At 59.2% G+C, this 21,039-nt stretch overlaps 1 protein-coding gene and 1 pseudogene across 11 annotated transcripts in view, besides 6 other annotated features; one reads left to right on the top strand and one right to left on the bottom strand.

Moving 5' to 3' along the window:
- Positions 1-7,041, bottom strand: part of SSPOP (SCO-spondin, pseudogene) — a 57,924-nt pseudogene extending 50,883 nt beyond the window's left edge. The window contains exons 1-14 of the transcript NR_163594.1: positions 6,992-7,041; positions 6,555-6,737; positions 6,066-6,148; positions 5,720-5,899; positions 5,230-5,474; positions 5,038-5,137; positions 4,144-4,302; positions 3,976-4,055; positions 3,397-3,549; positions 2,952-3,123; positions 2,605-2,845; positions 2,160-2,304; positions 784-901; positions 61-236 (exon numbers count right to left, since the gene is read on the bottom strand). The product of NR_163594.1 is annotated as an SCO-spondin, pseudogene (transcript). The remainder of the gene's footprint in view (positions 1-60; positions 237-783; positions 902-2,159; positions 2,305-2,604; positions 2,846-2,951; positions 3,124-3,396; positions 3,550-3,975; positions 4,056-4,143; positions 4,303-5,037; positions 5,138-5,229; positions 5,475-5,719; positions 5,900-6,065; positions 6,149-6,554; positions 6,738-6,991) is intronic.
- Positions 467-1,043: an enhancer, noted in NCBI's record as "H3K27ac-H3K4me1 hESC enhancer chr7:149479128-149479704 (GRCh37/hg19 assembly coordinates)". NCBI's record gives its function as "activates a minimal SCP1, AML or CMV promoter by ChIP-STARR-seq in naive H9 embryonic stem cells {active_cell/tissue: H9 hESC(naive)}" and the evidence as "EXISTENCE:reporter gene assay evidence [ECO:0000049][PMID:30033119]".
- Positions 6,553-18,901, top strand: ZNF467 (zinc finger protein 467). 10 transcript variants are annotated; one of them, XM_006715864.5, is made up of 6 exons: positions 9,495-9,975; positions 11,587-11,698; positions 12,009-12,084; positions 12,527-12,643; positions 13,883-13,993; positions 16,844-18,901. In XM_006715864.5, exons 2-6 carry the CDS (start codon positions 11,618-11,620, stop codon positions 18,367-18,369), a joined length of 1,911 nt encoding a protein of 636 aa, XP_006715927.1. In that variant the 5' UTR covers positions 9,495-9,975; positions 11,587-11,617; the 3' UTR covers positions 18,370-18,901. The 10 variants fall into 10 exon arrangements, with proteins under 10 accessions (XP_047275892.1, XP_006715927.1, NP_001316785.1 ...); XM_047419936.1 differs by lacking the exons at positions 9,495-9,975; positions 11,587-11,698 and adding an exon at positions 6,553-6,847; NM_001329856.2 differs by lacking the exon at positions 11,587-11,698 and having other exon boundaries at positions 18,405-18,901.
- Positions 9,873-10,052: a silencer, noted in NCBI's record as "silent region_18768". NCBI's record gives its function as "represses an Ori minimal core promoter by ATAC-STARR-seq in GM12878 lymphoblastoid cells {active_cell/tissue: GM12878}" and the evidence as "EXISTENCE:reporter gene assay evidence [ECO:0000049][PMID:35858748]".
- Positions 10,989-11,138: a silencer, noted in NCBI's record as "silent region_18767". NCBI's record gives its function as "represses an Ori minimal core promoter by ATAC-STARR-seq in GM12878 lymphoblastoid cells {active_cell/tissue: GM12878}" and the evidence as "EXISTENCE:reporter gene assay evidence [ECO:0000049][PMID:35858748]".
- Positions 11,149-11,468: a silencer, noted in NCBI's record as "silent region_18766". NCBI's record gives its function as "represses an Ori minimal core promoter by ATAC-STARR-seq in GM12878 lymphoblastoid cells {active_cell/tissue: GM12878}" and the evidence as "EXISTENCE:reporter gene assay evidence [ECO:0000049][PMID:35858748]".
- Positions 11,479-11,568: a silencer, noted in NCBI's record as "silent region_18765". NCBI's record gives its function as "represses an Ori minimal core promoter by ATAC-STARR-seq in GM12878 lymphoblastoid cells {active_cell/tissue: GM12878}" and the evidence as "EXISTENCE:reporter gene assay evidence [ECO:0000049][PMID:35858748]".
- Positions 16,194-16,869: an enhancer, noted in NCBI's record as "H3K27ac-H3K4me1 hESC enhancer chr7:149463303-149463978 (GRCh37/hg19 assembly coordinates)". NCBI's record gives its function as "activates a minimal SCP1, AML or CMV promoter by ChIP-STARR-seq in naive H9 embryonic stem cells {active_cell/tissue: H9 hESC(naive)}" and the evidence as "EXISTENCE:reporter gene assay evidence [ECO:0000049][PMID:30033119]".
- Positions 18,902-21,039: the final 2,138 nt, after the last annotated feature.

Below are 21,039 nucleotides of genomic sequence, written 5' to 3'. Positions count from 1 at the left end.
ACAGCTGAATGCAGTCCCACCGCACCCTTGCTCCCCCACACAGCCGCCTCACTGGCACACCTGGTGGGCATGGCGGGGGTCCAGGGTGATGTAGGCTACAGGGTCAGACAGTCCCCAGAGCACCTGGGCCCCAGGCCAGCGCAGCAGCAGAAAGGCAGAGGAAGCTCGGCGCACACTGAGGCCCTCAGCGCCAATCCAGGGCAAGCCCACATCCTGCCCATTGACCAGCACAGCTCCTGGAACAGGGGGTCTGATGGTGGGGGTGGGGCACGTGGAAGGATAGGGCTGCGATAAGGGAAGGAGCTTGGATGGGAAGTAGAAAGTCCCATGTCAGGATGGGCTGCTGGGGACAACTAGAGTGTCCACCTGAGCTCCCTACCCCTGCGGCCCAAGGACTACCCTTGGCACACAGATTTTCCAGTCCCTCACCCTCATGATCAGTGTGTGGGAGGAGCTAGATGGCAAGCCAGGAGCTGGTTGGGGAGGGTTGGAGGGACCCTGCTGAGTGGCCTGCCCGGTCTGGTCATGCCTTAAGGCCTTTCAAGCTCTCATAGCTGCATGACTTGTATCTGACCCCAGGACGGGGCAGAAGATGCCTCGGAACATCTCCTCAGGACTCTGTATGTCTGCTTCAGAGATGAGAGGGCCGGGGAAGTTGAGGCAGTGTGCTTAGGTGTAGGAGGCTGGGGAAGAGTGTTTGGACTCCAAAGCCATAGGGTAGTGTGGAGGAGGAGCAGTGACAGGAGGCCTGAGACTGCCTCAAGAGTGCAGAGCAGAGGCTACCTGAGTCCCTGAGCTGGATGTGGGTGTCCTCCAGGGAGACGGAGATGGCGTGCAGGCAGCTCCCAGCGTCGCAGGCCCCATGCTCCAGTAGGATCAGTAGCTGTCCCTTCACATAGTCCTGGGGCGGGCAGGGGGAATTCAGTGGGGCCCGGCGGGCCAACCCTCTCCGGAGAGGCTTCTGGAGACCTTCCCTACAGAACACCTTCAGCACGCACCTGGAGGCAGCTGCCCACCTTCCGGCCAGGCAGACTCTCTGCCAGGTAAGGGGCTTCGTCCTCACCATGGGCCGCATGCGTGGATGTCTGTGTGTATGTGTGTGCAGGGCCATGGAGGTGCACATAGGTGTCATGTGGAGGTGTGTGTGCATGTTTGTATGTTCACGAGTGTGTGTAGGTAAGTGCGTGTCTGCATGTTGGGGTGAGATGACTCCTCTCTTTCCTCCTTATGGATATGTATGTTCTCCCATGTTTGTGTGCATGTATACACACATGCTAAATCTACATGCACATACATGAGTGTGTGTCATGTGTATGTCTGTGTCTGTCTGTAAGTGTGTACATGGGTGCATGTATATGTGTGTGGATGCATACAAGTCTCTGTGTGTTGGTGTATAGCCTGTATGTGTCTGTGTGTACACATGCAGATCTCTGTGTTGGTTTGTAGCCTGTGTGTGTGTGTGTGTGTGTGTGTGTTTGCATGCACATGTGCGCGCTCACATGCAGATTGCTGTGTTTTGGTGTGCAGCCTGTGTGTGTGTGAGTGTGTGTACACACATGCATCTTTGACTGTGTTTGCTGGGGGAGATGGCTGTCCTCTTCCCTCCCCATGGACAGGCACAGCCTCTGTGAGGACTGTGCTCCCAGGACCTCCTCACCCCATCACTACTTATGAGAGGAGTGGGAATGGTCCAATAGTTCAATGGAGAGATCACTCAGGGGACCCCAGATGATTGCGAAAATCGTGGCCTGCACCTGAACTTGAGAAGTGAGCTCACTTCATTGGGGGAGGTTTAGGGCGGGAGCAGGGCCTCTTATTTCCCCTGAGGTTGTTTTGCATGAAGTAGTCTATAACAAACTCAGCCCATCCCATCTGTGAGAGACAGGACTGAAGATGGGTTTTGGTTAGTGGCCCTGGGCTGAGTGGTGATGACAGAGGGACTTTCACAGGGAAGCTGGGGAGGAGGTGAGAACCCAGCGGGAGGCCTCGAGGCCTGTAACAGCCATGCCCCCAGTGTTGGTTCTCCCTTGGCCTTTCCTGGGAAGACTCTGGGTTTCGCTTATTTATTTAGGGGTTTCCTTACAGTCAGCCCCACTGTGCCCTCTAGGAGGGCCCCTACTGTGGCAGAGTGCCACCCCAGCAGACCGTCCTCTGCCCACCTGCACCAGGCTGTAGCGGCAACCTTGACCACCCCAGAAGGAGTAGCTCCGCCCATCGAAGGTGAGGTAGTGCCCGTCCCCACCCACTGCACACTCGGCGGGGCACAGTGCCTGGGCACAGTGCCAGCGGCCATCCCTGCACACGCTGTGGGCACATGGGTGAGACAGTGAGCTCTGGCATCAGCTCCACCCTGAGGGGGTGGAGATGACCCCTGAGCTGGAGGTGACCCCCCAAAAACCCCTGTTCCTCCCCTCCCGTGGAAGCCCCTCCTGCTGAAGGGGTAGAGGTCAGCCAGCAAGGCCATCAGCCATGCCAGCAGCAGTCCCAGTCTCTGAGAGGAAGACCCAGAATGGGCTGGAGGCTTAGGGGAAGCAGGTTGAAGAGAAGGGAGGGATCCAAGGGCACCACCTGGCCACCAACCCCCAGCATGGCTCAAGGACCCACCAGGGGTTACACAGCTGGCGCACGGTGTCACCGGGTACATAGCGCTGGCGGCAGTAGTAGCAGGGGCAGTGGGCAGCAGGCACACAGAGGGTGCCATTCCAGAAGAGGCCTCGCGGGCACTCACAGCCACTCACACACTCTTCCCTGCAGGACTCCTCCTCTCCCTGACCCACCGCCTCGCAGCTGGGTGGGCAGAGGGAGACGCAGTCGGAGTAGAGCTGGCCCCCGGGGCACAGGCGCTCTGTGGGCACAGGAGTGAGCTGTAGTCCCCCGCCAGACCCCAGTCAATCCCACAGGGTGGGGAGCCCCTCAGTCAATCCTGCAGCGGGGGGAGGCCCGAGCAGTACCGCAGAAGCCAGGCTTCCTCCAGCGAATGTGGATGTGCCGCCTGGCACAGGCCTGGACATAGCTGGCAAAGGTGGCACAAACAGCCTGCTGCCGCCCCTCTTGCCCACTGCCTGCCATGGCCCCTGCGCAGTAGGCAAAGAGACAGGCCTCGTGGTACTCAGCAGGGGAAACCTGCAGGAAAGGACGGCCCCTCAGCAAACAGCCAGCACCCCCTACCTCCTGCTTCCATCACTCCATAACTTATAACCAAATGGATCAGCCCCAAAAGGAACCTCAGAGATCACATATATGAGCGGGCCATTTCCCAGAGATAAAGCCAAGGATGGAGAGGTGGGGGTTTGACAGATGGCCCAAAGTAACCCACAGGCAGGGCCAGACCAGCTTGCTGACACTTCTCTATCACCTTCCCTTGGGTGCCAGACACCACCCCTACCCCACCCATACCTGGGCATGGCACTGCCCGAATGGACCTTCCAGCAGCTGATGGCACACGTCCTGGGCTTCAGCCCGCAGGTGGCCAGGTTCTACATCTGCGTCTATGAGCCCCAGGGGGCTGTCACAGCCCTGGGCCACCTCCACTGCATCCAGACACCCAGACTGCAGACAAAGGCCATCAGGTCAGGTGGCAGTGATGAGGGACGTTAACCAGGACCCCAGAAAAATGCCTCCTGCTCTCACACAGCACCAGGGCCCCACCTTCAGGCCCACCGCCCACATCCTGGGGCTGGGGAGAGAGGCGAGGTGGCAGCCCCACGCTGGGCTGCAGTGGTGGGGATAAATGACTAACTGGTTCACCAATGCTGGCCTCAGATGGCTAGTTCACAGCAGGCAGCCGGGCTTTCTGTGGGACCCCAAGGCCTGCCCTCTGCCCTGAGGATCTGGGAGAGGGCCAGTCCCTGTCCTAGGGAACAGGCCAGCAATGAAACTGGGACAAGGGCTTGGAGGTGCAGGAGTCAGAAGCCAGCCTGAAAAGCTGGGAATGGGCAGGCAGCTGGGAGGGAGGGGCCCCAGTGGCAGCCTCACCTCCGAGCCAGGGAGCCTCCAGGAATTTCCAAAGGTGGCTGCTAACATGGCCAGCCCTCCGCCTGGCTCCATGAAGTCATCTGAGAAGGGGTGAGGCAGGGGTGCTGGGTCTAGGGTCTCCGGTCTTCCCTTCCCTGCTACACCAGCAACAAACCACACCCCACTTACCCTCTGGCCAGCCATTGTAGAGCCCACAGAGGCCTTGTGTCTGTCCCCAGAGCTCGTGGTCCACAGAGATGGAGATGGAGCCAGTCCTGTCCAGCCGCACCACGACCCCCAGGCCTCCTGACAGCACCAGCCAGTCCCCCAGCCATTGCAGGCTCAGCCCTGGGCACAGAAAGAGGTCACTTGCCCCCTGCAGCCACAATTCTCACCCTTCCCACTACCACAGCTGGGCTCAGCTACCCAGGGATGGAAAGGAGAAGGGAAATAACTCACACAATTCTCACATTCTAGAGAGCTCTGCACTTTATACCAAAAGTATATGCTTTACAGCAGAGTGATTGATTTCCATCACAGCTCCCTTTGAGGAGCTCATGAAAGCTGCAGACGCTCTCTGGAGAGAGTAAACTTCAAGTGAACTATGAAACACACGTGCACGTGCACACACATGCATGCACACATACATGCACACACTGCACCCATGCACACACAGGCATACACGCAGGAAGCTCACCCCCACCTCACCCTGCAGCCCAGCCAAGACAAAGGTTCTGTTAGGAGAGCTTCCCATTGCTTAGCACCAAAGTGCTACCTCACAGCACTCCTCTGAGGCTGGCGGGGAAACTGAGGCTCGGGCAGTTAGGTAGAGGGACTTGTCTGAGCTGGTGCTGTGAGAGTTTGGTGGGGGTAGTTGCAGAGGGTCGGGACTAGGCCTGGTTCCTCCCGGCCCCTCACTGGATCTGCGCTTCAGTGCCTCCCAACAGCAATGACTGGGGGCCCACTGCGGGATCATTCCCAAACAGCCCCCTGCTCCTTTTCTGACCCTGCCTGGAGGGTGGAGAGACTGTCAGAGGAGCACGTGGGGGCCTGGGCAGCCTCTTGCTCTCCCAGTGCTCTCACCGTGGAGCAGCCAAGACTGCCCTTCAGGTACCAGCTGCCCCTTCACAGACACATTTCCAGCCTGGATCAGCACCTCCTCGGGTCCCATAGTCACCTGGACCTTGAGGAGATGCAGAGTGGAAAAGGGGGCTGGGGCTCTCTTCCTCCCCTGTCCAGCCTCCTCCCTGTGGCTGCCCCATCTCCCTCCCTCACCCGCTGACAGTGTCCAGGCTGGGGGCAGCGGTCCCCGGGTGTTAGGTGGACAGCCCAGGTGGAGTCCGCAGCACCCGCCAGCAGGTAGGTGCAGCGGCCCAGGAAGTGATAGTGGCGGCCATCAAAGGTGCGGTAGTGGAAGCCCGACCAGGAGGCACAGGTGGCCGAGGGACGCTGGTGCTGGCTCCAGAGCTGGCCCACAGCCCCTGCCAGGGGCTGCAGGAGGGCTGGAGAAGAGGCACTGCCTGGGAGAGACACACCAACTGTGAGCCTCTGAGTGTGAGGCAGAGGTGAAGGGTGAGGACACAGGGCTCCCGGCACAGCGGGAGGCAGGCAGACAGGACATGGTCACTCTAGTGGGCCAGGGAGCCAGTATGGGCCCTGTAGAAGGGCCCAGAGCACAAGAACTCCACATGGGAGTGCCTGGGGAGGCGGAAGGGGTGATGGCCAGGACTGTGCCTGTCTGGCAGGCTGGAGTCTGTGGACCCACCTGGCAGGTGTCGGCTGGAGCAGCTGCGGCAGGCCTGGGAGCTGCCATCCCACCAGCTTTGTCCCCAGGGCCGGGCGCAGCACTCCTCCAGGCTTCCTGCTGAGGCATTAGCTGAGCCTGCCTGTAGCTGGCACTGCCACATGGCAAAGCAGTGGCCTTCAGGACTGGCTTTGGCAAGGGCTGCGGTAGGTGGGGAGGATGGGGCAGACCCAGGCAGTGAATATGGGGTAGCCTGGAGCTCTCAGCCCAGCCCTGGTTCTCTGCCTGAAACCACAGATCTGAGCTAGCATCCCCTGCCCAGGACTCCCAGAAGGTACCGCGTCCCCAAACGCACTCAGGTGCTTACCCTCAGTGCAGTGGGCGCCCCCCCAGCCTGGGCAACAAGTCCTCACTGTCCGGTTCCACTTGGCAGGCCGGGTTTCTGGAGGTCTGCACCCACCAAGCAGGTGGAAACGGGGAGGAGATGTTAGCGTTCAGCCCAGTCCCACCCTGGGGAGGCCTGGGGACATTCAGTTTTGTCAGCTACTCTAATCACATCATTTCCCCGGCCTTAATTTCCCCACATACAAAGTGAGAATAATGTTGGGAGGGCAGACCACGGGGATTGGGAGCGGGGGTTGGGTAGAAGGAGCAGGCTTCGGGCCTCTCCCTGTCCTGCCCACCGTAGCGCGCACTCACCCCCCACCCTAATCTCACACGCTCCACCCTTCTCCAGGCCCACTGCAAACCTACTTCCCAAATGCCTGCTTCCTCCAGAGCCTCCCCACTCTCAGGATGTCCGGCCTGTCACTCCTTTCCTGCCTGGCAGACAGCCCAGGCTCTCACCCTTACTCACTTGTAGATAGGACAGAGCCCAGGCGCTGGGGACCGGGTAAGCCCCGAGCGGCCACTCCAGGGCAGGTCCAGCCGCCAGCCCAGGCGGCTGTAATGGTCGAGGCTGGCACAGGGTACCAGGTCCTCCTGACGGGGTGCCACTTCCTCCTCCACACGGATGGTCTCTGTCCACTCACACCACCGCCTGCCCATGATGGGGAACCACAGCTGCTGCCACCATTCCCTCTGTCACCAAAAGCCCTGTCCTATGACACCACTCCCAGGGGTGGTTATTGAAGTAAGGAGGATGCTAAGGTAGGGAGAGACACTCATGGGAAGTGGCGGGGGTGGAGGGAGGATCCCGGGGGTGGGGGGCACGGAGTCTGATGCCCCAGAGGGTCCCTGGGCATGCGGCAGAAGGAGGACCCTTGTCAGAGGGGTCCAGGGTGGGCTGCTTACCCGTCAGCCAGGGCCCACGCCATCCCAAAGAGGAGGGCAGGGAGTAGCATGGTGCCCTCACCCCCAGGGCACCTTTGGGGAACGTGAGGCTTGGGCTCAAGAGAGGCAATGCTGCAGAGAGGGCAGAGAGGCCAGCGGTGCTCTCTCCTGCCCCACGCAGCCTCCCCGCAGCCCAGTGGCCAGTTCTGGGGGCTGTGGGGGGCTTTATTCCAGTCTCATGCCCCAGGGCACCAGCTGCCCACAACCGGATTGGACCTGCCACACCAGCCCCTCAGAGGCCAGCTCTCCCTGGAAACAGTCTCCTTCCTGTCCCCTTCCAGTGCATCTGTTTCCCTTTGTGTGTGTGTGTGTGTGTGTGTGTGTGTGTGTGTGTGTGTGTGTGTATTTTCACACTCTCAGGCACTACCACAAATTAACATGGGGCTCTGGGCAAGCCACCCTCCATTTCTGGGCCTCAATTTCCTTCCCAGTAAAAATTTCAGGGACTTCCCAGGGATGCACAAATAGGTCTCAGACTCCAGTAATTCTTTGAAATTGTATGTGCACATTTTTCTGAAGACAGTTCTATACTTTTATTAGATTCTCAAGAGGGCCATGACCCCATGAAAAGGTTAAGAGCTCCTGGGCTAAACGACTGATGGGGTCTTCCAGCCTTGAACTTCTGCCTGGATGATGCTCCCCTGCCTCCCGCCCCTCTCTTGCCCAAACTGAGGAGTCGGGGGCAGTGAGTGGGAGCACTTCTAGGGTAGCTGGGGTTCCTGAGTGTGTGGAGATGCGTGGGCAACATGTACCCTTTTCTCCAGGGTCCAGTTTCTTGCTGGGGATGATTATGTGTGGCTGGTTGGGCCCACCCTGTCTCCTTCTTCGAGGGTCTCCTAGAGTCTCTGGGGTCTAGAACTGGGGAGCCTATGCTGAGGAATGAGAGGACCCTCTGGAAGGAGTGGGCGGGGGAGCCAGCTCCCCCAGCCCTGGGGCAGAGCTAAGCCGGATGAAATAATCCGAGAATCCGGCTGGGAGGGGCAGTGACAGGCTCCACAGGGGAATCCGGGGTCCACCCTGGTCCCAGCAGAGCTCTGAGCACACCCGGACACCCGGGCTGGAATGCAGCCTGGCTCCGACTCCACACCCCTCGGTCTCCTAAACCTGATATCCCTCCGAGTATCCTGTAGAGTCATTCCACCTAGGGGAGGAAGGGGGCTGCTGTTAACCAGAGCTGGGCCGGGCTCTCCTTCTCCTGGGTTCACCATTGGTCCCAGGGCCAAAAAAGGGCCCAGAGTGAGTCTCTCAGGGGGTCACGGATGACTGGGATCAACTCCTGCTCTGGAGTCCTCAGAAAGAGCCACACGCACACCCAGACACCCCCCTTTCCTGTTTTACACACATGCACACTCTCACTGTAAGTCTCACAACACCGGCACAGGTGCTCGGCCACACCCCAGCACGCACAGTGACACATGCTACTCCAGGTGCTCCCTTCATCCTGGAGGCAGAGGAGCCTTCACAGCTGAGCCCGAGTGATGGGCGCTCTTCCAGGCACTCATCCTTGTGGTGGGCTGTGGTAGCAGGAGCTCAAGGGCCATTCACACCCTCCCCTTCCCAGCCTCACTCAGCTCTGGATTCAAACCGGGGCTGATCAGGCAGCACTGGGATTGGGAAGAGACCCGAGTTGCAGTCACCCTTTCCCGTAAAGGGGCAGAAGGGAGGAAGCTGGAACCCAGGGGTTTGGAGAAAGTTCATGGAGAGGAGACCGGGAACTAACAGTCCAGACTTCAGCATCTCCGGAGCTTTCAGGAGTGGGCGCAGCGGGAACAAGGCCAAGGAGAAACCTCGTAACCTGGGCAGGGAGGGCGAGTGGAGTCCCCTGAGGAGCTGGGGCTGAGGGCTGAGGGCTGAGGGCTGCCCTCCACATCTAACTCCAGGTGGTGTCCGGGCCAGCAGGCCCCCCAGCAATCGTCTCCCGCCCATAGAGCCCTCCCCTCTCTGCAGCCCCCTCCCAGACCCTCCCCCGGACCCCGCCCTCAGAATCTCCGCCCAGCCCCGTCCCAGCCTTGCCCCCTGGAGCTCCCGACCTGGCCCGGCCTTCTCCCAGGGGACCTGGCTTAAAGTCCTCTCCCCAGTTTCTACTTCGAAGGACCCGTTCTCGCAAGCACAGGGGCCCAGCCCTCTCTCCCGCCTGCCCCCACGGCTCCCGCGGCTGGTTTCGAATCGGGTCCTCGGGACTCCAGGCGAGGGGCTGCGGGTCTGGGTGGATCGGGGTGGAATCCGGGTGGAGAATGGGGGCGGGGCCGGAGTTTCCCAGACCGACCCCCCGGGCCGTCCTCCCGCGGGAGCGCGGCGCTGCACACCCGGCTGGCACCGGCGACTTAGAGACGGCAGCGCACGACTCGCTGGCTCCCCCCCGACACGGCCCCTCCTCGTTCCCCCAACTCCTCCCCGCCACCCCCCCACCCGTTCGCGCTCCACCTTTCCCCGGCTCCTCCCTCCGCGGCCGCGAGCACCCTCCCTTGGCACCCTTCCCCGCAGCCCGAGTGCCTGTCCTCCCCAGCCTCCTCGCCCTCCTCCACCCCCTCTCCCATCACCCTCCCCTCCCCTCCCCTCCCCTCCCCCGTCCTGAGCTCCCACTTCCACACCTACTCCAGGCTCGGAGCCTTAGGACCATCACCTGCCCACCTAAGCCCACGGTGCTCCCTCCTGGGACCCCACTCCTGAAACCCCCTGCCCCTGCCTCCCCCAGCCCGGTGCGCCGGGGCTCTCCGCCCGCTCCCTCGGTCCCTCCTCCCTTGCAGGCGCCGTTTCCCGGCTTCGACTCCCCGCGCGTCTATCCCTCTCCTCCCCGCGAAGTTTCGGGGCTGTCAGTCTGTCAGTCTTTCAGGCCGTCAGCACCCGAGCTGCAGGCGGCGAGCGCCATTGTGAGCAGAGCCGGCGGGGCAGGAGGCCCGGGCGCCTGGGTCCCCGCGGCGCGGGCGGAGCGGCCGGCCAGCCAGGTAAGGGCCGGGGAGGCTCCTCTGCAGGCGGCCCCGCCCGCGTCTCCCTCAGCGCCGCGGTTGGGTCACGGCCGGCTCCGCGCAGGTGACAGCCCCGGGGGTAGGGGCGCGGACGGCGGGCGTGGGGGAGGGGCGCGGGTCCGGGGAGGTCGGGGGCTGGGGGGAAGGGAGGGCAAGGCCGGCGCGGGCAGGGTGAGGGCTGTGGGGGTAGAGGAGACCGGGGGGGCTGGAGGGAAGGGCGGGGGCTGGGAGGGGGTCGGGCGGGAGGCAGGTGGGAAGGGGGACGACGGGCCCCGAGGGGAGGAGAGAGGGAGTGTGGGAGGGGGCCGAGGGGGAAGGGGAGGAAGAAGCGGGCGCTGGGGACCGGGCCACTCGGTAGGGGCGGGAGAGGAGGGCGCTGACAGGTGAGCCCCGGAGCTGGGGAGGGGGCCGGGACCTGGAATGAAGTCGGCGATCGGAGCTGCTTGGGAGGGCGGCGGGGCAGGGAGGTGGAGCTGAGGGTCCCGTCGGGAGGAAAACTTGGGAGGGGTGAGAAGTCCGAGGGGAGCAGAAATAGGGAGGGGGCGCCGCGGCGGAGAAGAGAGGCGCGGAGGGGTGTTCGGAGGGGAGACGGAGTGGGGAGGGCAGGGCCCGCGGGAAGGTCCCGAGAGAGCGGGTCAGCCCTAGACCCCCAGGCTTGGGGGCCGGAGGACCCGGGAGCTGGGAAGCAGCCTGGGAGGGGGGAGGGGAAGAGCGGTTCTGGGGACTGGGGACGGGGAGGGAAGCGAAGCTGGAGCCTGCTGGGGAGACAGAGGGGGAAGGGAGGCGGGGGCCTCGGAGGGGAAGGAGAGCTGCAGAAGGGAGGGGGGAGGGGGAGGGCGGTGGGGAGACGTGGGGGAGGGCTGGAAAGGGGGAGGGGAAGGGAACCGAGGTGAGGCGAGGAAAGGAGAAGGAAGGGAAACCGGGGTGGGGGAGGAGAGGAGGGAGGGGAGAGGAGAACTGGGTTGGGGAAAAGAGCTGAGAGGAGGAGGGCGGGGGTTGGCGAGGAAGGAAAAGAGGAGGGGGAAAGGAAGGGAGAGGGTGTGCAGCCGGGGAGGGAGATGGAGCGGGGGAGAACCGGGAGGGTAGGGAAAGGCAGCCTGGAGTCTGAGAGGGGGAGGGGAGCGCTGCCGCCGAGGCGGCCCGGAGCGTAGGGTCAGGGGAGGCGGTGGCAGCGGAGGGCCGACCCGGACGGGGCCTCGAGGGGTTGGCCCTGCCGGGCTCGGGCGGGCGGAGCCTGAGGGGCGGGGCCGGGGGCGGAGCCGAGGCGCCGGCCCGATTCGCAGGGGAGAGAGGGCGGAAGGCAGAGGGAGCGGGAGGGGCGGGGCAGAGGGAAGGCTGCCGGGGAGATGGGGGAGGGGAGTCTGCTGGGGGAGGGGCGGGGGAGCCGCGGAAGGCGGAGCAGGGAAGGGGCAGCAGGGGCGGTGTCCGGGCCTTGGGCAGCCCGGCACGGGTGAGAGGTGGTTTTGTGGTAGGGGTTTAGGAAGAGGCGATCATTTTCTAGCTACAAGAGGATCCTCTCGAGGACCTCCCCAAGCAGTACCCCTAAAGTGACACTCACTCCCGCCCCTGGGCTGGCTCCTATTTCACCAGCTCGGGCAGTGACAGCTGGAGGACCTGGGAGATGAAGTTTCCCACTCCCCACCCTGGGCTCCCACCCTCAAGCCTCTCCCCAGAGAATCGAATCTTGCCTGCACTTTCCCAGGCAAGGACGCTGGGGCGTGGAGTTGCGGTGCTGATGGGCCGGGGTTGGCGGTGACAGACCTGCCAGGTGAGGGGGTGGCGCGGCTGGTTTCCAGAGCTGACAGAAATCGTTTCAAGGCCTTCTTGGGCCACCTTCAAAGATCTCTTGGCTTGGCTTTCTAAACCCAGTTTCCCAAATTTCCCCCAGCTGTACCTGGGGATGTCACCTTTGGAGCTCCTGGAAGAGCCCATAGGGAGAGGTTGGGCAGAGCCAGGGCCCAGGTGGAAGCTGGCGTGGGAAAAATCTGAACAAGGCTGTCTTTTCTCCATAGGTTCTGTGGCCTGATCCCCAGGAGGAGCTACTCTGGGTTACCATGAGAGAGACCTTGGAGGCCCTCAGCTCCCTGGGTGAGCTGGCAGAAATGAAGGGACTTGGGGAAAAGCTTAGGAGGATTCAGGGGCATCTACAACTCAGACAGCAGAGCCACCCTCAGGAGGCTGCAACCCTGAGGCCCCAGGGGCCTGTAGGTCAGCCTCCTTTTCTGTAGCACGGGGTGTCTGAATGCCTGGAACATGGTGGAGGCTGCGCTCTAGACCATATGTGCACTTGAGCACTCACAGAGCACAGTCATATTTACATCTATGCCATCTCTTCCTTCTGTCCTTTTTGACTCAACTCAAAGGGACTGAGGTTGATACCTGTCCCTGTCCATGTGGTGAGAGACCCTGTCCTTCCTGAGCAGGTTGGGAAAAGTCTCTTGGGCAGGCTGGGAAGGGGAACAGCCCCCGCCTCTGATTACTTGTTCTGTACTGGATGCTTTACTTGGACCCATCCTTCTGCCTGTAACAGGATTCTCTGTGGGACAGCCAGAGATGGCCCCCCAAAGTGAGCCCAGGGAAGGATCCCATAATGCCCAGGAGCAGATGTCCTCTTCTAGGGAAGAGAGAGCACTGGGGGTGTGCTCAGGTAGGTAACAGGAACCCTGGAAAGGCTCAGGGAGGAGTCCCCCTGCTTTCCTCCTGCCCTCCCTACCTCTCTCCCTTCTTCCCTCCCCCCTCCCTCCCTCCCTTCCTTCTTTCCTTCCTTCCTTCCATTCATCAAATATTTATTGAGCACCTATTATGTGTGGGATGCTATTCTAAACATTTGGAATACCTCAGTGACCAAATAGTCAAAGATCCCTACCTTCAAGAGCTTAATCCTAATGAGTGCAGAGAGTCAGCAAACAATAAATAAGGAAATTTCTAAACTATGTTCAAAGGTGATAAGAGCTCTGGGGGAGAGGATAATGTCCAGTGAAGCAGGTTGAAGGGGGCCGAGACAGCTGCAGGTGGGGGTGGGTGGGGCATGTTATAGGATTAAATAGGGTGAGGAGACTGGGTTTCTTTGGGAAGGTAAGATTTGTGCAGGATTTGAAGGAGCTTGGGGAAGCCGGGCATGGTGGCTTATGCCTGTATTCTCAGCCCTTTGGGAGGCCAAGGTGGAAGGATTGCTTGAGCCCCATTCGAGACCAGCCTAGGCAACATGGCAAGACCCTGTCTCCACAAAAAATTAAAAGTTAGCTGGATGTGGTGGCTCATGCCTGTGTTCCCAGCTACTTGGGAGGCTGGGGCAGGAGGATCCCTTGAAGCCCAGGCTGCAGTGAGGTATGATCGTGCCACTGCACTCCAGCCTGGGTGACAGAGAGGACCTTTCTCTAAAAAAAGAAAAATAAAAGAGGTGAAGGCGGCAGCTCAGCAGATTTGGGAAAAGTGCTTCAGGCAGGAGTACAGCCAGGACAGAGCACTAAGGCAGGAATGTGCCTGGCTTTTGACATCCTGATTCTCCCCAGTGATTTGCTTGGAACCAGGGTCCATCTGGGGGCTGGGAAGTCCCCAGCCCTTCTCCTAGGGGCATCAGGTCAGGGGACTTCCTTGCTTCCACTGTCTTACATACACATATTCCAGGAACTCTTCACAGTGGTGGCTCTTGTAACCTTGTAGTCCATCTCATTACATACCCTTAGCAGCCGCCCTGCTTGAAGGAGTCTGAGGCAGCCCCAGGGAAGCTGGGAACTCAGCCCCTTAATTCAGGTAGGATGTGGGAGGAACCCTGTGGGCCCTGCTGGAGCCAGGGTTTCAAATGCTCCTGCTTCCCAGCACCAGTGGGGCCCTTTGGCCATCTGTGATGTCTCCAGAGTCCTTGAGGTATCCTATTCTCTGCCAGGGCACGAGGCCCCTACACCGGAGGAAGGTGCCCACACAGAACAAGCCGAGGCTCCCTGCAGAGGCCAGGCGTGCTCAGCACAGAAGGCTCAGCCTGTGGGTACCTGCCCAGGTGAGTCTTCCCATCACTTCATCCCACCACGGGCTCAGGCCAAGGGAACGGGGCCCAGCAAGCTCCGGAGCTGCTATCTCATGAGGCAGGTAATCCCCCAAGACAGGCAGTCCAGGCCCTTCTAACCCAAGTTGAGTTCAGGCCCTGGCACCTTTCTGCTGTGGAGCTTCAATGCCGAAAGGGAATTTCACATCTGTAGATGGCAGGAGTCAGAGAGGCTGGTCACCAAAGAGAAACACAGCCTCCCCTCAAATGCCTTCTAGAAATCCTACCTCCCCCTCTTTATTTCTCCCAGTCTAAGTCTAATTACAGTTGCCATGAAGATACATGGCTTTGATCAACATTTTCACTGCCTCTCCCCTGACATGCCGCCTTCCCCAGCTTCCACTGATCGTGAGGGTACCCAGATGCTCCACATCTGCTGTATTCAACTCATCTCCTCATACCCAGGGTGATCAAACTGCTCACTCTCTCTCAACAATCCCACCATGACTTCCTTCCACTGCCACCATCCTTACTACCTTTTGCCTGAGGGATATCATTTATTCAGCAAGGATTTATTGAGTGCCGACTACATACAGGCTGTGTTAAGTACAGTGGAAAGAGATGAACTGTAGAGTTACCTGGACCTGGTTTGAATCTTTGTTCTGCATTTACTAGCTGAGTGCCCTTGGATAGGCCACCTTGCCTCCAGGAGCTTCGGTTTGTGAAGGTTTGTGACAGTGTGTGTACAACACTTCATCTACAGTTGGTCCTCGAGAAGTGGCAGCAGTCCCCATTTTTATCAGACACATAAAGACACCTTTCTTATTAGACACAAAAGAAATGGAACACAAAATGTCCATACCTCAGAAGAGAAAATCTGGTTGAGATGACCTTAATATGAGCTAGAACAAAGAATTAAAAGAACAGTATAAAGGCAAGTCACAAATAAGCACAAAAGTGTTAACAGTAAGTGCTATAGGAGTTTATGCCAAAAGATCCGCATGCACTGGGAATTTGTCAAAAAACATTAATTTGTGCTGCATTTTAAGAAAGGTGTAGACTTCAGTTCTGAAAGGGGTGGGGTGGAGGATGGGAAGACGTTCTAGGCTGAGAAGATCTTGAAGCAGGAAAGGGGAGGAGAGCAGCTTGGCTGAAGTGGAAGGTCCATGCCTGGGAGAAAGAAAGTTGGACTAGGGTGGGGTGAGCCTCAGATGCAGCTAGAACCTGTTTTATCTTCAAATAATAGGGTGCTGGGCTGGGCACTGTGGCTCATGCCTGTAATCCCAGCGACTCAGGAAGCTGGGGTGGGAGAACTGCTTGAGGCCAGGATTTCAAGACCAGCCTGGGCAACACAGCGAGACCCCATCTCTGAAAAAGTAAGAAATATTAGCTGGGCATGTTGGTGCACACCCATAGTCACAGCTGCTTGGGAGGCTGAGGTAAGAGGATCACTTGGGCCCAGGTGTTTGAGGCTGCAATGAGTCATTATCGTCCCATTGCACTCCAGCCTGGGAGACAGAGCAAGACCCTGACTCAATTAAAAATAAATAAATAGGAGCTATTGATGGTTCTTGAGTAGAAAAGTAAAGAGTGCCACAATGAAGGTGAAAGCAGTATCACAGTGTGATAAGTAGACAGGGGTCTGGAATCAATGGACTGATAGAAGAAACTGGGAGTACCTCTGATTGTGGAAGTCCACGTGTGATGGAATCAAGGCTCAGGCCAGACAGGAACCCAAATTATCTGCTTAAATGATTCACAAATGAGAATCACTTTGGGAGCTTTAAAGATGAGAACACGTTCGTGGGCCTTGCCCCCATTTGTGCATTTTCTCAACGTTTCCCAGGAGCTGATGATGCAGCACAGGCGTGGGAGCTTTAAACTAGTCCAACTCTTACACAAAGGGCAAATTTTCTTAGCGGACTAAGAAATGTAACTCAAAGAGGTTAAGTGACTGAACCAAAGTCACACTCCTAGTTAGTGACAGAGGAGAACCTAAGTTGGACCCTCCCGTCTGGACCCCGGGCTCCTTCCTCTAGGCTGGACCATTGCAGCACCCGACAGGGGCAACACTCCAGCGGAATCCCCTGCAACCTGCCCTTAGGCTGAGGCTTCCCTAGAGGGCCTTCCCTGTTTCTCCAGAGCCAGTGTTCACTAGTTCCCCAGACCCTGTAAACTCCATCGTGGTCTTCCTAAATGGGACTTCTCCTCAGGCTGTCCAGCAGGAAAGAAGGGAGTAGCAGGAATACGTGGGTACCCTGGTTCCGTGGCCACTAGAGGTAAGGTGGGCTGGGGGTAGGGGTTAGAGAGCAAGAGAAGCAGCCCAGGTGAGATGTCAAAGATCAAGTTTTCAAGGCCACCAGGGAAGGAGGCTCTAGTCCTAAGGTTAAAGTCAGCCAGGGCTCAGTTTGGGAAGCTCAGGTGTGTGGTGAGAAAGCTGCTGAGCTGCGGCCAGTTTGCAGTACCAAGGAGAGCTGCTGGACCAGAGATGGAGACTGAGGTCCCAGAAAGGCACTGCTGGAGCAGGAAGATCTGGGCCAGCCACCAAAGGGATGTGAACCTGGAGCGAAGCAGGAGGACTGAAACTTGGGCAACCTTCCTCTTCAGGGGTGCTGGAGGGCTCCTGGGCACATCCAGGCCGGGGAAGAAGCCCCCGGGAGCCGTGTGGTGTTCACACGCATCACAGGTTCAGGAGAATGCAGGAGGGGGCCTGAGAAGAGCTGCGGATTTGGTCACTCCCGGGAAGCGTTAGGTAGAGTGGAGAGCAGAGCCAGACCGCGGGGCTCCAGGAAGTGGAGATCCTGTGGTTAAATAGACGTTGCCGCACGTGGAGCTCAATAGACAATTCTTGTTTTGACTTTCCAGGAGAGGAGTGGATGATTCGGAAGGTGAAGGTGGAGGACGAAGATCAGGAGGCAGAAGAGGAGGTCGAATGGCCCCAGCATCTATCGTTACTTCCCAGCCCCTTTCCCGCGCCTGACCTGGGGCATCTGGCTGCCGCGTACAAACTGGAGCCAGGGGCCCCGGGGGCACTGAGTGGGCTCGCGCTGTCTGGGTGGGGTCCGATGCCGGAGAAGCCCTACGGCTGCGGGGAGTGTGAGCGGCGCTTCCGGGACCAGCTGACGTTGCGACTGCACCAGCGGCTGCACCGGGGCGAGGGCCCCTGCGCCTGCCCGGACTGCGGCCGCAGCTTCACGCAGCGCGCCCACATGCTACTGCATCAGCGCAGCCACCGCGGCGAGCGGCCTTTCCCGTGCTCCGAGTGCGACAAGCGCTTCAGCAAGAAGGCCCATCTGACCCGCCACCTGCGCACGCACACGGGCGAGCGGCCCTACCCGTGCGCGGAGTGCGGCAAGCGCTTCAGCCAGAAGATCCACCTGGGCTCGCACCAAAAGACCCACACCGGCGAGCGGCCCTTCCCCTGCACGGAATGCGAGAAGCGCTTTCGCAAGAAGACGCACTTGATTCGGCACCAGCGCATCCATACGGGCGAGAGGCCCTACCAGTGCGCACAGTGCGCACGCAGCTTCACGCACAAGCAGCACTTGGTGCGGCACCAAAGGGTGCACCAGACGGCCGGCCCGGCCAGGCCCTCTCCCGACTCGTCCGCTTCTCCTCATTCCACTGCCCCGTCCCCGACCCCATCCTTTCCCGGGCCAAAGCCTTTCGCGTGCTCCGACTGCGGCTTGAGCTTCGGCTGGAAAAAGAACCTCGCCACGCACCAGTGTCTGCACCGCAGCGAGGGTCGCCCCTTTGGGTGCGATGAGTGCGCACTGGGCGCCACCGTGGATGCCCCCGCCGCCAAGCCCCTGGCCAGCGCGCCTGGCGGACCGGGCTGCGGCCCAGGATCCGATCCCGTGGTGCCCCAGCGCGCCCCCTCGGGCGAGCGGTCCTTCTTCTGCCCGGACTGCGGGCGCGGCTTCTCCCATGGGCAGCACCTGGCGCGGCACCCGCGCGTGCACACGGGCGAACGGCCCTTCGCCTGCACGCAGTGTGACCGCCGCTTCGGCTCGCGGCCTAATCTGGTCGCCCACTCCAGGGCCCACAGCGGCGCCAGGCCTTTCGCCTGCGCTCAGTGCGGCCGCCGCTTCAGCCGCAAGTCGCACCTGGGCCGCCACCAGGCGGTGCACACTGGCAGCCGCCCCCACGCCTGCGCCGTCTGCGCCCGCAGCTTCAGCTCCAAAACCAACCTAGTCCGCCACCAGGCGATCCACACAGGCTCCCGCCCCTTCTCCTGCCCGCAGTGCGGAAAGAGCTTCAGCCGCAAGACCCACCTGGTGCGGCACCAGCTCATTCACGGCGAAGCCGCCCACGCGGCCCCGGACGCCGCCCTTGCGGCCCCAGCCTGGTCCGCTCCCCCCGAGGTGGCGCCGCCCCCGCTCTTCTTCTGAGCCTAGTTCTCACGAGGACCCTTTCTTGCCCACAGTTTCGAGAGGCCCGTGCCATGAGACCGCCTGGGGTGAGCAAGGCGACCTGGGCTGCTGCCCGAAGGTTTGGCCGCCGCGGGACACCTGTTTCCTTCCCGCAGTGTCTGCGTCCGCACAGCATACCCAGCTCGGACCTCCTAGGACAGAGACTCAGCGAACCCTTGCTGGGAACCGCTGAGCTGAAGTTCTTGGAAGGCTCCCACCCAGGTGCCCCGTTGGAAAGCAGATATTTCCCGGACCCAGCGCGGCCTCAACCAGGGCAGGAAAGAGTGGTTATTTATGTACTTAAAGTTTCATTAAAGTTAAAATCGGAAAGTTCTGGGGCTGCTAAATGAATTGGGGGAGGGAACACCTGACTCTCCTTAGCCACTGTCCCACCTCCATCCACACACAGACCACCCCCCTCCACTTCCCCTTCTGTCCTGGGTGAGTTACATTTAGCCAGCTGCTGTTAATTGGTTCTCCCAAATAAAAATGTAATATATTTATTCACTAAGCCACCATCCTGGCTCCTGCTTCTAGCTCGGAAGTATAAGGAAGGAAGATTGGGGTGCATTTCTCTCACGCCACGTGTCACCGACTAGAGCTGAAGGGGGGCAGGCCGTCCTTTGGCGTGGGCTTGGGAGCTCTGTGTGGTCTCCGCAACTCTCCTGGGGGATTCGGAGCTCGGTGGCGTGAGGAAGGAGGTGGCACATCCACTGCAGATGAAGGTTGCTTTCACATCGCACTTGCAACAAGTCCTTTCTTAAGGCTGCTGGGTCCAGAAGTCTCTGTATTGCCCTTCTCCAGCCCACGCAGGTATGAGAGCTAGGGCTGCCTGGCCGTGAACGGGGAGGGTAGGACGATGGGGAGCCTATGGAGCTTGCAGTGAGTAGTCTTGGGTTTGACCCCCCTCTGCCTCTCGTGGGACTTGGAGCGCAGCATTATTCATTTCCCAGTGAGCGGGGATGAGAGGCCAGAGCAGTGGCCTGAGAGATGAAGGGGTCTTTCACACCTGTGAAGCAGTTTAGACCGTGTCCAAGGGAGGGGGAACCATGGCAAGGTTAGGCGGGGCAGGAACAGGGCCACGCTCACATTCCTGAAGTTTGGAAAGATGTTTGGCTAGACAACTCGGGAGCGAAATTGGAGGCCTGCGCATCAGTTGTCCTGGTGACAGGTTGTGGTGACCTGGGACCATAGTTGTGTCAGAGGAGACAGAGAAGTGATGGATTCAAGAGACACTTAATAGGCAGAGGATACAGGACCTGTTGACTAGTGTGGGTCGGGGAATCAATGAGCTCAGCCCGATTTCTGTTTGACACTGACTGGATGACAGTGGCATACTCCCAGAAGGGAGACTCGGTGTTGGGGGCAGCTTTGTGCTGGGGGAGTAGTCCTGGGTCTCCTGAGTTGTGAGCAGTGTGTGCCCAGCAGGAAGGAGGCTGTGTGGGTGGAGAGCTCAGGAGAGGGCCAGGCTGCAGACATACAGCTGAGAACTATCCGCATGTGCTTCTGAAGCTATGGGGGAGCGGATGATCTTCCCAAAGAACTGAGTGTGGAGTGAGAAATTGGGGGCCTGGGACAGAAGCCTCTGGGACACCAACATTAGGGGATGGCACCGAGAGAGGCCTGTAAACAAGATTGGAGAGTGCAGGTGCAAGGACTGGACAGGAAAGCCCCAGGTAGAGGTGATAGAGGAGCCGAGGAAAGACGCGCTTCAGGGAGGAGGAGGCCGCTGGAGGCTAGAGAGAGGTCACCTAGGCGAAGGGCTTCCAAACCCTTTGGATGTCGCTGCAAGCAAATCCAGTCTCGGTGACAGCAGCATCAGGAGCAGCTGGGTCAGAATTCAGATCACAATGGTGAACTACAAAAGCAAAATCCCAGAGAAGGTAGGAGACAATGAGACCTGGACACAGGTGAGGGAGGGGCGTTGGCTGGGAGGCCTGTCAGAGGATGCATGAATGCAGGCGTGTTTATAAGTTTCGTGGCCAAGAATGAGTTGGTGACTCCAGGTTATTTTAAATATCTTGAAATGTCACATAAAAATCTGGACTTCCATCTTCTGTTGTGAAAAAAGCAAAAGGTTTGGCAACTGGTGGCTGGAGCTGAGTGGAAGTTGTCCTCTTTGGACTAAGGGATCGGAGTCCTCAGCACTCCCCCTCGTCTTAAAGCCCAACTGGGCTTCTCCAAGGTTCCCTACCCAGCCTCTTAGGCACAGAGCTTGTGATTCCAGCTAAAAAAAAAGTCATTTCACAGACTTTTAAAATCAAACACATAAAAACAATGTTTGTGTTGGTTAGACCAATGTTTTCCTTTCTTGAAACATTCTGGAATTCTCGTGTAAGAACAGCTTTTAGATCTTACAGCATATTTGGTGAGGCCTACCATGTGCCAGACGTTTTCAGGATTTCACATTATTTTAAAGATTCTCTACAAGGCATGCATATCTTTGTCCTTATTTTTTAGCTTGTTTGCAAATAGTCAAAATTTGTTTAGCATCCAGTCTGGCAATAGCCAACTCAGAAGACGTCTGCTCAACAAATGCACCGTGTGATGGAAGACTGAGGTTTCTGAAGGCTCTTCCCAAGGAAGAGTTCTAGACTCAGAAAGTGGTGGCCTCACTAAAATCAATACCTACCATCACCACCCCTATGT

Source organism: Homo sapiens, chromosome 7 (assembly GCF_000001405.40).
Source record: "Homo sapiens chromosome 7, GRCh38.p14 Primary Assembly".
In the NCBI taxonomy this organism is placed as follows: domain Eukaryota; kingdom Metazoa; phylum Chordata; class Mammalia; order Primates; family Hominidae; genus Homo; species Homo sapiens.
This window is presented reverse-complemented; position numbering and strand designations above follow the sequence as displayed.

What these genes read in the sequence shown, in the direction of transcription:
- ZNF467 (XM_006715864.5), top strand. Translation starts at nt 11,618, where the DNA reads ATGAAGTTTCCCACTCCCCACCCTGGGCTCCCACCCTCAAGCCTCTCC. An exon ending in AGCACTGGGGGTGTGCTCAG is followed by an intron (nt 12,644 to 13,882) that starts GTAGGTAACAGG and finishes ATTCTCTGCCAG; the next exon opens with GGCACGAGGCCCCTACACCG. An exon ending in GCCTGTGGGTACCTGCCCAG is followed by an intron (nt 13,994 to 16,843) that starts GTGAGTCTTCCC and finishes TTGACTTTCCAG; the next exon opens with GAGAGGAGTGGATGATTCGG.